Source organism: Homo sapiens, chromosome 7 (genome assembly GCF_000001405.40).
Source record: "Homo sapiens chromosome 7, GRCh38.p14 Primary Assembly".
NCBI classification, from domain to species: Eukaryota; Metazoa; Chordata; class Mammalia; order Primates; family Hominidae; genus Homo; species Homo sapiens.
The window spans coordinates 35,340,955-35,356,917 of NC_000007.14; the positions used below are offsets into that span (position 1 = coordinate 35,340,955).

The following is a 15,963-nucleotide window of genomic DNA, read 5'->3' on the forward strand; positions in this document are numbered from 1 at the left end:
TTTGGACTTTATCAAAATTAAAAGATTTTGCTCATTGAAAGACACCATTGAAAACATGAAATGAAAGCCAAAGACTGAGAGGAATATCCCAATGTGTATGCTTAATAAAGGACTTGCATCCAGAATACAGGCATACCTTGTTTTAGTGCACTTTGCTGTATTGCCTTTCATAGATATTGTGATTTTTACAAATTGAAAGTTTCTGGCAACCCTGAATCGAGCAAGTCTATTGGCACCATGCTTCCAACAGCATGTGCTCATTTTGCGTCTCTGTCATATTTAGGTAATTCTTGCAGTATCTCACACTTCTTCATTGTTATTGTTATTATTATATCTGTTTGGTGCTATGTGATCAATCATGTTTGATGTTACCATTCTAATTGCCTTGGGGTGCCACAAACTGTGCCCATATAAGATGGCAAACTTAATTGATAAATGTTGTGTGTGTTTTGACTTCTCCACCAACCAGATGTTTCCCCGTCTCTCTCTCTCTCTCTCTCTCCCTCCCTCTCTTCTGACCTCTCTATTCCCTGAGACACAAAATATTGAAATTAGGTCAATTAATAACTCTACAATGGCCTCTAAGTATTCAAGTGAAGAGTTGCACGTCTCTCACTTTCAATCAAAAGCTAGAAAAGGTTAAACTTAGGGAGGAAGGCATCTCAAAAGCCTAGATAGGCTCAAAGCTAGGCCTCTTGTGCCAAACAGTTAGCCAAGTTCTGAATACAAAGGAAAAGCTATTGAAGGAAATTAAAAGTGCTACTCTAGTGAACACATGAAAAGGAAGTGAAACAGCCTTATTGCTGACATAGAGAACATTTGAGTGATTTGGATAGCAGATCAAACCAGCCACAACATTCCCTTTAGCCAAAGCCTGATCCAGAGCAAGGCCCTAACTCTCATCACTTCTGTGAAGGCTGAGACAGGTGAGGAACCTGCAGAAGTTGGAAGCTAGCAGAGGTTGATTGGTTCCTGAGGTTTAAGGAAAGGAGCCATCTCTGTTACATAAAAGTGCAAGATGAAGCAGCAAGTACTAATGTAGAATTTGTAACAAGTTATCCAGAAGATCTAGCTAAGATCATTGATGAAGATAAATACACTAAACAACAGGTTCTTGCTATAGACAAAACAGCTTTATATTAGAAGAAGATGCCAGCTAGGACTTTCATAGCTAGAAAGGAGAAGTCAATGCCTGGCTTCAAAGCTGCAAAGGACAGGCTGACTGTCCTGTTAGAAGCTAATGCAGCTGGTGATTTTAAGTTCAAGCCGATGCTCATTTATCATGCTGAAAATCCTAGAGCCCTTAAGAATGATGCTAAGTCTGTTGTGTCTGGGCTCCAGAAATGGCATAGCAAAGTCTGGATGACAGCACATCTGTTCACAGCACATCTCTTCATAGTTTATTGAATATTTTAGGCCCACTGTTGAAACCTATGGTACAGAAAAAAAGATTATTTTCAAAATCTTACTGCTCATTGACAATGTACTTGGCCACCCAAGAATTCTGACGGAGATGTACAAAGACTTTAAGGTTGTTTTCACACCTGCTAACACAACATTCATCTGCAACCAATGAACCCATGGACCAAGGAAATATTTTGACTTTCAAGTTTTATTACTTAAGAAATACATTTTGTAAGGCTATAATTGCCATAGAGAGTGATTTCTTCTGATGGATCTGGGCAAAGTAAATTGAAAACCTTCTGGAAAAGATTGACCATTCTAGATGCCATTAAGAACATTTGTGATTCATGAATATTTGTGATTCATGGGGAAGAGGTCAAAATATCAACATCGTATTAGTCAGGGTTCTCCAGAGGGATAGAACTGATAGGATATATGTATATATAAAAGGGAGCTTATTAAGGAGAGTTAGGTCACACGATCGCAAAGTGAAGGCCCATGATAGGTCATCTGCAAGCTGGGGAAGAGAGAAGCCAGTAGTGTCTCAGTCTGAGTCCAAAAGCCTCAAAAGCAGGGAAGCCAACAGTGCAGCCTTCAGTCTGTGGCTGAAGGTTTGACAGCCCCCAGCAAACCACTGGTGTAAGTCCGAGAGTCCAAAGGCCAAAGAACCTGGAGTCTGATGTCCAAGGACAGGAGGAATGGGAAGAGGCATCCAGCATGGGAGAAAGATGAAAGCCAGAACTCACCAAGCCAGCTCATCCCACCTTCTGCCTGTTTTGTTCTAGCTGCAATGGCAGCTGATTGGATGGGGCCCACCCACATTGAGGGTGGGTCTTCCTCTCACAGTCCACTGACTCAAATGTCAGTCTCCTCTGTCAACACCCTCACAGACACACCCAGAAACAATACCTTACCAGCTATCTAGGCATCCTTCAATCCAATCAAGTTGGCACCTAATATTAACCACACAAACATTAACAGGAGTTTGGAAGAAGTTGATTCCAGCCTTCATGGATGATTTTGAGGGGATCAAGACTTAAATGGAGGAAGGAACTGCAGATGTGGAACTAGCGAGAGAACTAGAACTAGAAATGGAGCCTGAAGATGTGACTGAATTGCTGCAGTCCCAGGATAAAACTTGAACAGATGAGGAGCTGCTTCTTACAGATGAGCAAATAAAGTAGTTTCTTGATGTGGAATCCATTCCTGATGAAGATTCTGTGAACATTGTTAAAATGACAACAAAGAATTTAAAATGCAAAACTAAGTTGGTAAGGCAGCAGCAGGCTTTGAAAGGATTAACTGTAGTTTAGATGGAAGTTCTACTGTGGGTAAAGTGCTACCAAACAGCATCTCATGTTACAGAGAAATTTTTCATGAACGGGAGAGTAAATCAATGCAGCAAACTTTATTCTCTTATTTTCAGAAGTTGCCACAGTCAGTTGATCAGTCAGTAGCTATCAATATTGAGGCAAGACCCTCCACCAGCAGAAAAATTATGACTCAAATTTTTGAGGTGATTGGTAAGCTAATTACTCTGATTGATCATAATACATTCTATATATGTACTAAAATATCACACTGTACCCTATAAGTATGTACAATTATTTCATGTCAATTTAAAATAATAAAAGCAAAAATAAAAAAGATTACAACTAACTGAAGCCTCAGATGATTGTTAACTTTTCTTAGCAATAAGGTATTTTTAAATTAAGGTATGTAAATTGTTTTGTTAGAGAATGCTGTTGTACACTTAGTAGACTACAATGTAAACATAACTTTTATATGCACTGGAAAACCAAGAAATTTGTGTGACTTGCTTTATTATGATATTTGCTTTATTGTGGTGATCTGGAACCAAACCCACTATCTCTGAGGTATGCTTGTGTATTAAGAACACCTACAAATCATAATAAAAAGACAAACAATACAATAAAAAAGCTAAAGACTTGAGTAGACATTTTCCAAACACACAAATGGTCTAGGAACACATGCAAACTGCTCATTATTCATCAGGAAAATACAAATGAGAAATTACAGTGTGTTATCACTTTACAATCACTAAGATGGCTATAATTACAAAGACTGGCAATACCAAAAGTATATCGACTGGATGTAGAAAAATTGAGCTCTCATATATTGCTGGTGGGAGGGCAAAAGAGGATAATTTGGATGACTGTTGATCAGTTCTTTAACTGTTAAGAATACACATTCCCTGGGAGGCCGTGGTGGGTGGATCACCTGAGGTCAGGAGTTCGACACCAGCCTGCCCAGCATGGTGAAACCCTGTCTCTACTAAAAATACAAAAATTAGCTGGGCGTGGTCGTGGGTGCCTATAGTTCCAGCTACTTGGAAGGCTGAAGCAGGAGAATCACTTGAACCTGGGAGATGGAGATTGCAGTGAGCTGAGATCACGCCATTGCACTCCAGCCTGGGCAAAAGAGCAAAACTCTGTCAAAAAACAAACAAACAAACAAACAAAAAAACACCACATTCCCAAGGAAGGAACTTTTGATACATACAACAACATCGATGAATCTCAGAACAATTATGTTGAGTGAAAAAGACAAACATCCCCCCAAAAGAGTACATATTATATGATTCCATTTATTTAAGACTCTAGAAAATCCAAACTATAGTAAGGGAAAACAGATCAGTGGTTGCTTGGGGGATGGGGATGGGGATATACACGGGAGTGATTACAAAGAATACAGGGAACTTTGAGAGGATGACGAAAATGCTCATTTTAAATATGAGCCATTTGTTGCATGTCAACTATACCTCAATAAAATAGTTTATTGGTATATTATATAGAGGGTATATAATACATTTAATATTTTTAAAAAATAGTCACTTTGTTTAAAGTGACTCGAAATAAAACAACAACAAAAATGAGAACACATGTTCTCCATGAGCCACAAATTCATTCCTAGATATTTATCTGAAAGAAATGAAGGCATTTGTTCATACAAAGATTTGTTCAAGACGGTTTATGACAGTTTTATTCTTACTAGCAAGAAACTGAAAATAACTAACATGTCAATCAACAAGTAAATAGATAAACAATTTGTGGTGCATTTGTATAATGGAATATTACTAACCATTTCAAAAACTGACATTCACAAAAGTCTGATTAAATCTAAAAAAGATATATCCCAAATACAAAAGATTACTTTCTTTGTGATTTCATTTATATGAAGTTGAAGAACTTGCAAAACTCATCTATGGTGATAGAATCAGAACAGTGGTTTTCTCTTGGTGGTGGGGAGGTGGGAGGTTGAGTGGCTGGAGGTTGATGACAAATGGTCTGAGAAACTTTCTAGGGTGACAGAAATGTGTTATATCTTAAGTGAGATATTGGTTACATGATGAAGTGGATACTGTGGTGCTCTGCTCAGCTGCCCTCTTCAAGGCCGACATGCCCATTCCCTAGCTGCTAGGATAACCCACACCTGCATTTCCGACTGAGCATTGCCCTTGGTCACAGGGAACTGCCTTGCCCAGACATTTCCCTTGCAAGGGCTGAGCCATAACAAATGACTGTCCAGTGCAGAGATTTCTAGACCTGCCCTGCTTGCCTCACTTTAAGACACTCTGAAGAGCCATTCCTTCTCCAAAGCTCCCCATAGAATTAGCTAAAGCCTTAGCTGCAGCTTCATTGTGGATTAGCTTCTCCCTCTTTCCAATCCAGCTTTCTTCATTTATTTACAGGTTTATTGTTGAGAGTATATACCAGTAAACTTTCTGCACATAATTTTCCACTTCAGCATTTGTTTCTAGAAGATGGAACTACAATTGGTCCTAGAACGTGAAATTTAAAATGGAATTTTAAAGCTGGATAAACAGCCAGGGCTGTCAACGAGATCCCATTTTTAGTGGGATGTGGAGCATGAATGGTCCTTAGCAGACTGCGTGGTGTGATGGTTACAACCTGTACTGACAGTGGATGTGGTTAGGACATCAGTGGATGGGAATACATTAGTTGGTGAGCTTGAGTGGAACGAGAAAAGTTGTAACCACAAAGACTGTGGCACCAAGTGGCTGTTGCTGCATGCATGGATTCTTAGAAGATTATAACCAGCTCAGGATGATTAATCACCAGTTCATAAGCAGTGGGTTTAAGAGAAGTTTGACTTCTCAGCCTAGCAGGTCTCCCTCCCAAAGGCCAGAACTCTGTTTCAGAAGGAAGGAGACCCTGATAATTGGGTGTGAAATATCTGCTATGAAAATCTTGAGTGCCTAAATAACCCTGAACCCACTTGGTGCAAGTGGCTCACTCTTACCTGTTAGAAAATAGTAGCCCTCCCCTTGCTTGAAGAACATGCAAAAAGCACAAGTGAAATAATTACAAAACAGTGTTTGTCCTCACTCAGGATCTCACTGCCTCTCACACCATCCCACTTACTTCCTGGCAATAAGACCAATAACAAGTGTTAAAGCTAGGATCTAGCTAGTATGTACTGATGGGTCCCTGCGTGTGCAGGATCAAAAGAGGAGGAAATAAAGTTGGATAAAGAAGAGTGTATTGGTATGGGGAACTCTCCAGTACCTAGGATTTAACTCCTTGGCAAGGATCCCGAAGTCAGGCTAATGGGTTGCTAGAATGGCTATTGGAAGCTTGAGAAAAGTGATGGCCTCCACTAAGTGAAGGAGCACCTGCAGAACTGCTGTGGCAGATAGGGAGGAAAGAATCAAAAGCCTCGAAGAATTGGGTATGCTAGAACAGGTATATTTCATAAGGCCAGGAAACTTACCAACTGACCAAGTTTGGGACGAGGGCCCAAAGAATGTACTAAAATTGTCATGCAGCTCAGCGGTGATTGTCTTCATAGACCAGGGCTACCAACAGGAGATGTGAATACGAAACTGAGCTCCTGAGAGCAATGGGGATGGCTGGATCCCAAAATCGTAGAGGGCAGGTGGCAGCGCTTAACTATCAGAAGCAATGTGGGCACAATTATTACAATAAGCAGCAAAGGCAGAGTGGTGGCCTTGAGGACAGACCAACGGAGAGATGAAGGTGGTTGACAGAATTTTGTGCTCCTAGGGCTGAGAGAGTTGGGCAACAAACAAAAGCATTGCTTAATATGTGCAATCAAAAGAAGACAAGGATGAATGGTCAGATGCCTGTGGACAGCAGCCCCAGTGAAAATTCAAGATTCCTGGCTATTCTCAGACATGGAAACCATTGACCGAAGTACAGGCCAAGTCCCTTGAAGGAACAATTCTGCAAAGCCACAGCATGCATACTCAGCAGCAATTTTCCCAGTCACTCGGTAGTAATTCTCCCAGTCACTCAGTAGTAATTTTTCCAGTCCTTCCTTTCGGCTACTTATTCAGATAACCGTGCAATGAAGAAAGAAGAATATATATAGGTATTTTAGAAATTGTTGGATAACATAAGGTCTTGACCTAGGGAGTTGACACTGATGCCCAGGAGCCTCCAAAGCAACCATGGCCTACCTTTTAGAATTAGAGTGTATGAGGAACAGATAATAATTGGAGCCCTGAACCTAGTCCAGCTTGCCGCAGGCTCACTGGCCTCCTGGAACCACCCAGTATCATTTTCCCAGTTCCTGAACATGTAATTGGAATTGTCATACTTGGTAGTTGGCATAACCATTGCTCCTGGATTTTGCCACCCAAACTTCACTTTCTACCTTGAACTGTTGTTGGTCCATGAAGAACAGCTTGGACTCAAACCCCTTGGCTCTTCTCAGTCTTAGCTGTTGAACACACCTAGATTTAGTCTTGAAACCACATCTGCTCTGACTGGCCCAGCCAGATAAACATATCCACTCTCAGGGGAGATTGCATACTCTTAAGCCAATGGTCTAAACTTCCTATTCAAAAATAACCCAGGCCTGGCTTGTACATCTTCCATTTTTTGTTTAAAGAGATATTAGAATGTGAGAAATGATATTATACCCTAAGATCAAAGCTGAAAACATAGAGTAAATAGATCCTGGGCTCCACCAATGCAAGTGCAATGCAAGTAAATATATTCTGTATGATACGCCAATAAAAAACAGGGATACATAGTTACTTGGAGATGGAATGGGTAGCAGATGTGCTTTTTTTTAAGTACTATCAATAAACAATAAAATTAGCTACCATTCTTTGAGCAACTACTATGTACCACGAATGTTCCCGTATGCCTTCTCATCTAATCTTAATGACCACCCTGTGAGGTGAATGGCATGCCCATTTTATAAAGAAGGAAACTGAGGGTCAGAGAGCTGAGAAAAATGACCCAAAGTCATAAAGCTTGTGAGAGGCAGCCAGAATCCCAGTATGGTTTGCTGATTGTGGAACCAGTGCTGTTTCTGCCACACTAAACTGCATCCTGATTACGGAGATTTGCAGCCCAAGCACCTCGGATAAATTGCTTGGCTTCCAGCAACTGGGCTTAAGAAAATATGCCTTTTCTTTCATGTTTTTGAAGACAGAATCCATCATAAAGGGCATTCCTTTAAGACCTTCTGCTTTGAAGTGATAAAAGCTAGATTGAAGGAAGGCTCCCAGGCTCCTGATCTGGGTTCACCCCTGCCCTGAGAGCCAGGAAATGTGATTTCTTCTGCCATCTCTTTCACTTATGGTACTTGCTCTGCTTCTTGGGTCTCCAGTGATTTTTTTTTTTCTTAAGAAAAGAAGATAGCTTGGGTTAATTTCCAGTTCTCCACAATTTATCTGTACTGAGCTGGAAGAGTGTTGAGTGGGAAAGGGCTTCCTTGTCCACGAGGGCCTCGCAGCTCTTCAACACCCACCACTTCTGCCTCATGTCAAAGGCAAGCAGATCGGTTTATTAAATAGCTGTCAAACCGAATCAGCGAGCACCGAGAACACACAGAGGGGAGATTGGATTAGAGGGAGAGGACATGCCACGCTAAACAAGGGCACAGATTTATGGCTTTGGCCATGCAGCCTCAGAAATGATGCCCAAGGTAGCTATGTGTTGGGGGCGGCTGGGCCAAGGAAGTGAAGTGTGATATTCACAGGGAAGGACTGAGGCATAAGGTGTTTCCAGTGACCATACTTTTCCTTTCTGGCACTCAGATCACTTGTAATTAGCATATAAGTAATGACATGTGTTTATTTGGTAAATGACTCTCTTCCTCATCAAAGTATAAGTTTACCCAGGGTAGGGGCTGCTGGAGGCTATTCACTTCTATTTTCCAGTGAGGGCACATGGCTGGCATCATAATAAGATATGCTTGCAACATTAACTCCACTGAAGACAGCAACTCCTAGACTCTCACCAACTTAGAAAATATGGATGATGCTTTACTCACCAAATGGAATTCACAAACTTGGGTTCTAATTAACACTTTCATAGATTGCCCCTGTCCACTTTTCATAGCCCCCACAGATGAGAGGCAATTTGAACTAAAGAGGAAAACAAAGTGACAGATACCTGCTAGCCAATGTCACTTTAAGCCCAGTGGAAATAGAAATGTGTGCATGAATGATTACTGAGGGCATTTTGGAAGAACTGCTGGACTAGATTCTTGCCCTGGAGGGACCTAGACCATAGCAGAGAAGAAGTAGTCTTTGTATTTCCCATTCCAACATTTTTCTTTTATTTGTCGTCATCTGGGATTTTATCTCAGTGTCCACCTCTTCCATACACCTCACATGTGTGGTGAGGGAAATGTCCCCACTCTTGGCTCTAGGAGCGGGGACACCTCTGCCTCAGGCCTACACTAATCGACATAATATCATCCACTCATCCCAGCAATGGATGCAGTTATGGTTACATGGTCTAATGTGGGCCAATGAGAAGGGAGAAGATATGGGCTAAGGGTTTCCTTACTTCTGTGAGAGAACTTCCAGAACCGTCATTCTTTTTCTTTCTGAATGCAGGAGAGGAAACGTGCTCCTTGCCTCTCTCCCTCTATCTGACTCAGTTCCTTATCATCCTCATATATGTACTGATCGGTGGAAACTAAATGCACCCAGAACCCTAGAAGCTGGGAAATGCAGTCTTTGACTTTCCAGCCTGTTCGGGATTGGAAGGTGCTAGAAGGGGCTGAAATGAGCATTGAATGAGCCAGTTTGCAGCATCTGCTGTATCACCTTCTTTGTTACTTTAAGAGTAGTGACTATTGATCATGTTTTTGAAATCTACAAGAACTTCGAATAGTGAGCAAAAGAGTTAAGAATGTAACTATGGGGAATTGGGACTGTCTTTGAGTAGGAAAAATACACCCATGTTTCATGTTTATTTCCTTTGTATTAATTTTAGAAAAACAATAATCTTATAAAAGTGACAAATCAGATGACTAGATGGCTACTGCAACCATCTAAGTGTGAAGGGTCGTATCCTGGATGGGGCCAGTTGAGAAGGAAACAAACTCTCAGATTGAGCCATATCACTATGATAGAGTTGGGGGACCTTGTGGTTAGAATTTTTGTAGTTGCTTAAATCAGAAATACCCATATGCTGATTTAAGCAGAATGGGGGCTCTATCACTAAGGCACAGTGGTGTTTGACAGAACCCTGGGCAGAGGAGCATTACTGCCAGGGCTCTCTGTCTCTCCTCTTTCCTTTCTTTTCTTCACCTTCTGCATTCTCCTTTGTATCTACAGATTGGCTTCCTCTGCCTCCCCATGTGCCTAGGGGGCGGGGAAGGTGGGGTGTGGGGAGTGGAGAAGTCGGGGGTGGAAGCAAGGCCATGACAGCTCTTGAGTTTGTATAGCCTTCTCTCTCACTCCCATGGAAGGGACGCTGCATGGTCCAACTGGGGTTCAGGCTGACCCCTGAGCCAATCAATCAGGTCCCAGGAGGAGGGACGGGGGCAGTTCACAGGCACCCAGGCTCACCTCTATGAATCTGAGAATGGTGATGTGAGGTACATTAGCCTTGTGGGCGCCTGTCGTTTCCAAACATTGTGCAACGGGATGTGGATTTGCCAGGCATGAGTTGGCAAGGGAGAGGAAAGCATCCATGATGATGCAGAGGCTTCTGGTCTGAGGAAGAGGATGCAGCACCACTTCTCTGGATGCAGGGGTAAGTTGCCTAGACTGAAGTGGGAGCCTTTGTAACTAGAGCAATATGGGCTGGGGCAGAAGCAGTTGAAGACAGAGGTCACTGAGCATGGCATCGATGGCTTTACCCATGTTTGAAGTGGCCTGAAGATCCTTTCAACCCCAGTAAAATAGAGAATGGTGATAAGGCCAGTTTGGGAACAATCAGACATCTGTGAGATTAGCAAAAACCTAAGGCTCAGGGAACCTCTTGAAACCTCCCTACAGGAGAGTCGCCCCTTTTGGTCCTAGAACATAGGCCTGAGCCCGCCGACCAGACTTAAATGTGGGGAAGGCAGGGCAGCGTGGGGTCAATAGCTGCTTGCATGGCTACCTGTTGGCTTTGTGCCCTGAAGAAAGAGGAGATTTTATGTGTGGGCTGAGCATGAGGAGGGAGGCTGCCATCATTTTATAAAAGTTGTGTGATTATAAGCAAAGTGGGGAGCTGGGCCAGGGGAGCAAGAGTGGGTGGCATATGCTCTTCCTCTCAACACCCATAGCAGTCATGGCTAATCAGTCAAGGAGCTCTTTCCCATAGAGCCCTGACAGCATCCTTCTCAGCACAGGGCTCTGGGCAGCCTCTGACAGTCTGTCAGTACATGGGAAGACCTACATCTGCTCAACCCAATCTGGGCAATGGATGGCAGGGAAGGCAGGTAAGTCTGGGTCAACATGGCTGAGCCATGTATTTTGTGGAAAACTAAGAGGGTTGTGGCAACCATAAGTGTGATTCCAACACAAAGTTTTAGCTTCAGTGTGAAGGTGGCTTAACATTCTAACCAGTGTTGGCCTACTGCTGGAGACTGTGCTAAGTGCTGGTTCACAAAATTTCATTTCATCTTCACAGCAGCTCTATGGGGCTAGCTACTATTACTAGTGCAGCATCTCCTACTCATGTTTACAGATGAGGGAACCGAGATCTGAAGAAGAGAAATGACCTATCCAAGTTCCCCCAGCTGGGGCCAGTTCTTCTGTTTCACCTAGAATTGGATGTTCCAACTCCTGGTAAGTATTCTTTCCACTGCCCCAAACATATTTTGATTTGAGACTAGATTCTTCTGCTGTTTCCCAGTAAAGAGAATTTCCCCAAACATCTGTGCCATGTGATAGCCCCTTAGGGTCTTGAGTCTCCAAGTGTGGTCTTCAGATTAGTAGCATGAGCATCCCATGAGCGCTTGGCACAAATACAGAGTGTCCAGCCCAATCCCAGAGCTCCCAAATCTGCATCTGCATTTAAACAAGACACCTTAGGATCCATGTGCACAGTGAAGTTTGAGAAGCTTGACAAGGCACCAGCCCTTCCAAGTGTTCCAACCTGGCAGAAAGGGTTCTACAGGCAAACAAGTTTGGGAAACACTGAATCCTATCCTGTTCTTTTACACATCAGCATCGTTAAAGGTTTGGAAGGGTCCTAAAGTAAATTTTTTAAACTTTGCTCAACCAGATGTTTTCCAAATTTGCTTGTACATAGACTCTGGATTCTGTATGAATAGCATTTACTCATATCCCACGGATTTACTATTTAACAAAAAAGTTTGACATGTGGTCATAGACTAGCCAGATGAAACCCTGCTTGTGTGTGCACTAAAAATAATGGAAAGAAATGCACCAAAGATTGATCTAGTAATCAATTATTTATCATTCCCTTAAGATGACAGCAGCACTGCCATTTTAAGGGCACCAATATTATAAAATGAAAAAAAAAAAAGCACTCAAAAAGGGAAAACAAAAGCAATCTGTGAGGGGAAAAAAAGGGTCATAATTTGGTTTGGGCAGGAGTGTTTGACCAATAGGAAAGTGGATGGAAGAATAGTTGTTTCATTAACCTATTGCCATTTCTCATAGCCTTACACTCATGAACACAAAGCAGCATAAAATGGGATCAGAGGCTATTTTCTACGGACTAGTTTACATTAGTGATCTCATTTTATTTCTACAGCAAATCTTTAAGGTAGATATTAGTATCCTCATTTTACAGATGAAGAAACAGGGACTCAGGAAGATTTGGTCATTTGTTAAGACTTGTGCAGCTAATGAGCCAGAACTCAACCCCACACTTTGTGACTCAGGAGTCCAGGCCCTTTAGCCATTACACGATTTTGTGCAGAAAACAGTGGAAGCCTGGGCCCCTGAAAGACTGTGCCTGATCTCAGCCTGGAGTCCTAGGAGAGGATGAGGGAGGCCAGCCTGTGAGCTGTTCTTGTGGATTGCCAGTCCCCTTGTGATTGACATGCTCCTCATCACCAGCTCCAGTATCTGTCTCTGCTCCTGCGTGGGCTGCTCTAGGGTCTGGGACATCACATGTCTGACTCAGCAATTAGCTTGTTGTACTTCATCTTCCCGCTTGCCTCCAGCTCCCCCCCGATTAATAGAGAGGAGCTGCTGCAGCCAGGCAGTCAGCCACTCCCACCTGAACGTGAAATAGATTACTGAACAAAGAAATGAATTGAGAGAATTGGGGAGCGAGGAGGGGGCCAATAGCTACATTGCCTGTTTTTAAGCAACAACTGCTTTTGAAGTCGCTGATTGCAGGAAAGGCCAGACCCAGTTTGGCCTAGTTTGGTGATCACTAACTCAATTACTTAATTTTCAAGGAAAACATTTGCTCCGATAAATAAAAACAGAATAAACCACAAGACTTAACTGCCTCCTTTTAGTGAGCTTCAGTCCCAGGCCTGATTTGCAAAAGGAAAGCAGCTGGAGAGAAGTGCACTCGAGGTGGAGACTGATAGTGGAAACAGTAATAACAGAAATAATCAGTATCAAGTTATCAGCGCTATTCTAAGAGTTCTGCATATTTGAACCCATTTAATCTTCACATAAATCCTCTGAGATAAGCACAATTATTATCCCCATTTTCCAGATGATAAAACTGAGGCCCATATACTTCACATCATTTGTGCTTAAGGTTACACTGCTGGCAAGTACTGGTTAAACATCCAGAAGACAGACTCGGGACCCAGACTGCCTGAGTTCAAATCCTGCTCTGCTGTGGTTTTCTCACTGGAAAAACGAGGTGTTACTAGATGCCTCTCTGCCAAACCTCAGTCATTTATTAACACCTTCACATTCTTGGGCCAACTCTCATTCAACAAGTACTATGATTTTCTTAAAGCTTTCTGTGAGCTACCTGTTTTTGAAAGTTTAAATAACTGTATTTCAAAAGAAACACATCAAAAAATAGATTGAAAACTAGTATCTCTTATTTCAAATAGATGGTGTTTATGAAAATGAATATTACAAGAAAAAAATAGGATTACCTATATCTGAGATACAGATCTTTTTCTTCCTTGTTACAAAGAGAGGTTAATAAGTGTTAGAAAGACACGGGAGATCTAGTGGCTCCAGTCTACAATTTTCCTCCTGGAAATAATCAGAAGTATTGAAAAAGAACAGAACAGGAAATGCCTTGCTCAGGATCACAGGTTGGGAGAAATGTCGCATGGCTTGTTTCTCAGCTCTTTCTCCTACACAAGACTAAAACAGCATGGCAGAGGGCTGGCCCCCAAAAGCTTAAAGAGCTCTGTGTGGGCAGAGGTATCTGTAGCTGTGGTCAGGCCCCATCAGGTGGGCTGTGTGCCAAGCTTATAAAGAGAACTTGTGATGAGTGTACCATCTTTGTCCCATTCAAAAGGGATCTTCCAGCAAGGTGGCCCAAGCTCATCCAAGTAGTACTATGGTGGCAGTTAAGAACAATATATCCAGCCTGCCCTTCCTTTCAGGCATATGAGAGGATTACACTCTGGCCTCCACCATAATGTAACATAACACACGGCCGTTTGACTTGCTTTGGCCAATGAAATGAGAGGTTATGTGCTGCTTCCTGGTGGAGGCATTTAAGAGCAGGTGCACAATTCTACATGCTCTCTCCTCGGCTGAGACTGTGAGTCCTGGGCCTCATGTAGAGAGGGCAGCATGAGAAGATGGAAATTGCATCAGCCTGGGTCTCTGAGTGACCACTATATGGGGCAAAGCATTCCCCTGCCGCATCCCAGCTCCCTACTGACTCCCAAGAACATCTGTATTGTTTTAAGCCACTTTGATTTAGGGGCCTTTTGAGACCAAACATAAACCATCCTATGCTGACTGCTTGGGGATGAAGCTCTTACATTGGCTGCCAAGGCTACAGATCCAGGCCCCTGTGGTCTGGCAGGCTGTTTCTTGGAGCTGGCTGTCCCCTCCTTTGTCATAGCACTGCCTTTTCACCACCAGTGAAGCTGCAAATCCATTGATGCCTCCAGTGCCATCTACAGCCACAATCCTGCCAACTCTGCATATCAGGCTTCTACTGACCCTGGGGCCCTGAGCCCCCCAGTACCCCTAACCCTGGGGTACTGACCATTCACTTTGGTCACCAGCAGTTTTGTAAAATGAGACAGCTCCTTCCTATCTGTATGCTACCCTCAGTTAGGTGTGCCCCATAAGCAAAGGTGCTTGGTGTCCTCGGTGCCTTGGGAAAGCACCTGAAACATAAAGAAATCTGTCCTTCCCAAGTCACAGGGTTGTTGTGAATGTCACATGAGAGGGAGAGTTGTGTGAGAGTCTTGCTCCATGCTAAGCAAATAGGCGAGGGGTTCTAGGGATGATCTGCCATGTGACTGTCTGGGGTAGAGTGTCTGCAGAACATCTGCATTGGAAGCTCTCCTGGGTCCTTACTGAGTGAGAAGCACACAGCTTCAAAATTAATAATGTAACCGAAGCCTTTTAATTCCTTTAATTGAGTTACCCAGGAGGAGCAATGGGAGCACCTGGCTTTCTGCCCTCCAAGGGCTAGACAACAACAAAAGGATTAAGTGTACCATTAAATTGCTTCTGGGCTTTTCCTAACCAGGAGCCTCCTCCGCCTAGTAAAAAGAGAATTTAAGAAAAAATCGGGGGAGGGGGAGATCGAACAGCAGATAAGATTGTGGAGGGAGATGTGAGGAGCAGAAAGGATAATTGGCCCTGAATGACAAAGGCCCCTATCCCACTGCCGAATATACAGTTGCTGACTACAGTGGGACTCAGAAATGAGTTCATACAGCTTCTTGCATGCTCAAAAGTTAGAATCTTGGGACTGAGGATGGGGAAGAGAGAAGCTGAGGTGCAGAGAGGAGAAGCAAATTGCCCAGGAGTGCGTGGCCTGGAAGGGGCAGAAGCAAGACTTCACTGAAGACTATTTGGCTCCAAAGCCCAGCATCCTCCACGGTTACCATGATTTCTCTGCCTCATGGCAGGGGTGAGGGTGGGTGGAGAAGTGGAGGGGAGTGGATGAAGACGGAAACTGGAGTAAGCAGTGGCCGACCCAGCTTGCCAGCCAGAGGCTCCTGGCCAGGAGGCACCCTGCCATGTCCCCAGTATAAATAAGGCTGACACAGAGGAAGAGGCAACAGACAGGCAGAGGGCAAGCTGCCTACCCAAGGGGGTGAGGTCTTTGGTTTTACACATGCAGCCCCCTGTGCATGTACTTTTATGGCTGCTATCTTTTTATAGCTTGAGAATGTTATGTTCTGGGCAAAGTCCTCTCTCCAGGCCTGGCCTTGGTCTACTCT

General features: G+C 43.2%; 1 long non-coding RNA gene across 1 annotated transcript in view; it reads left to right on the forward strand.

Moving 5' to 3' along the window:
* The window catches only part of LOC401324 (uncharacterized), a 62,622-nt gene that overhangs the window by 27,100 nt on the left and 19,559 nt on the right, over positions 1–15,963 (forward strand). The window contains exon 2 of the long non-coding RNA NR_038864.1: positions 11,337–11,437. This is a non-coding gene — a long non-coding RNA (uncharacterized LOC401324). The remainder of the gene's footprint in view (positions 1–11,336; positions 11,438–15,963) is intronic.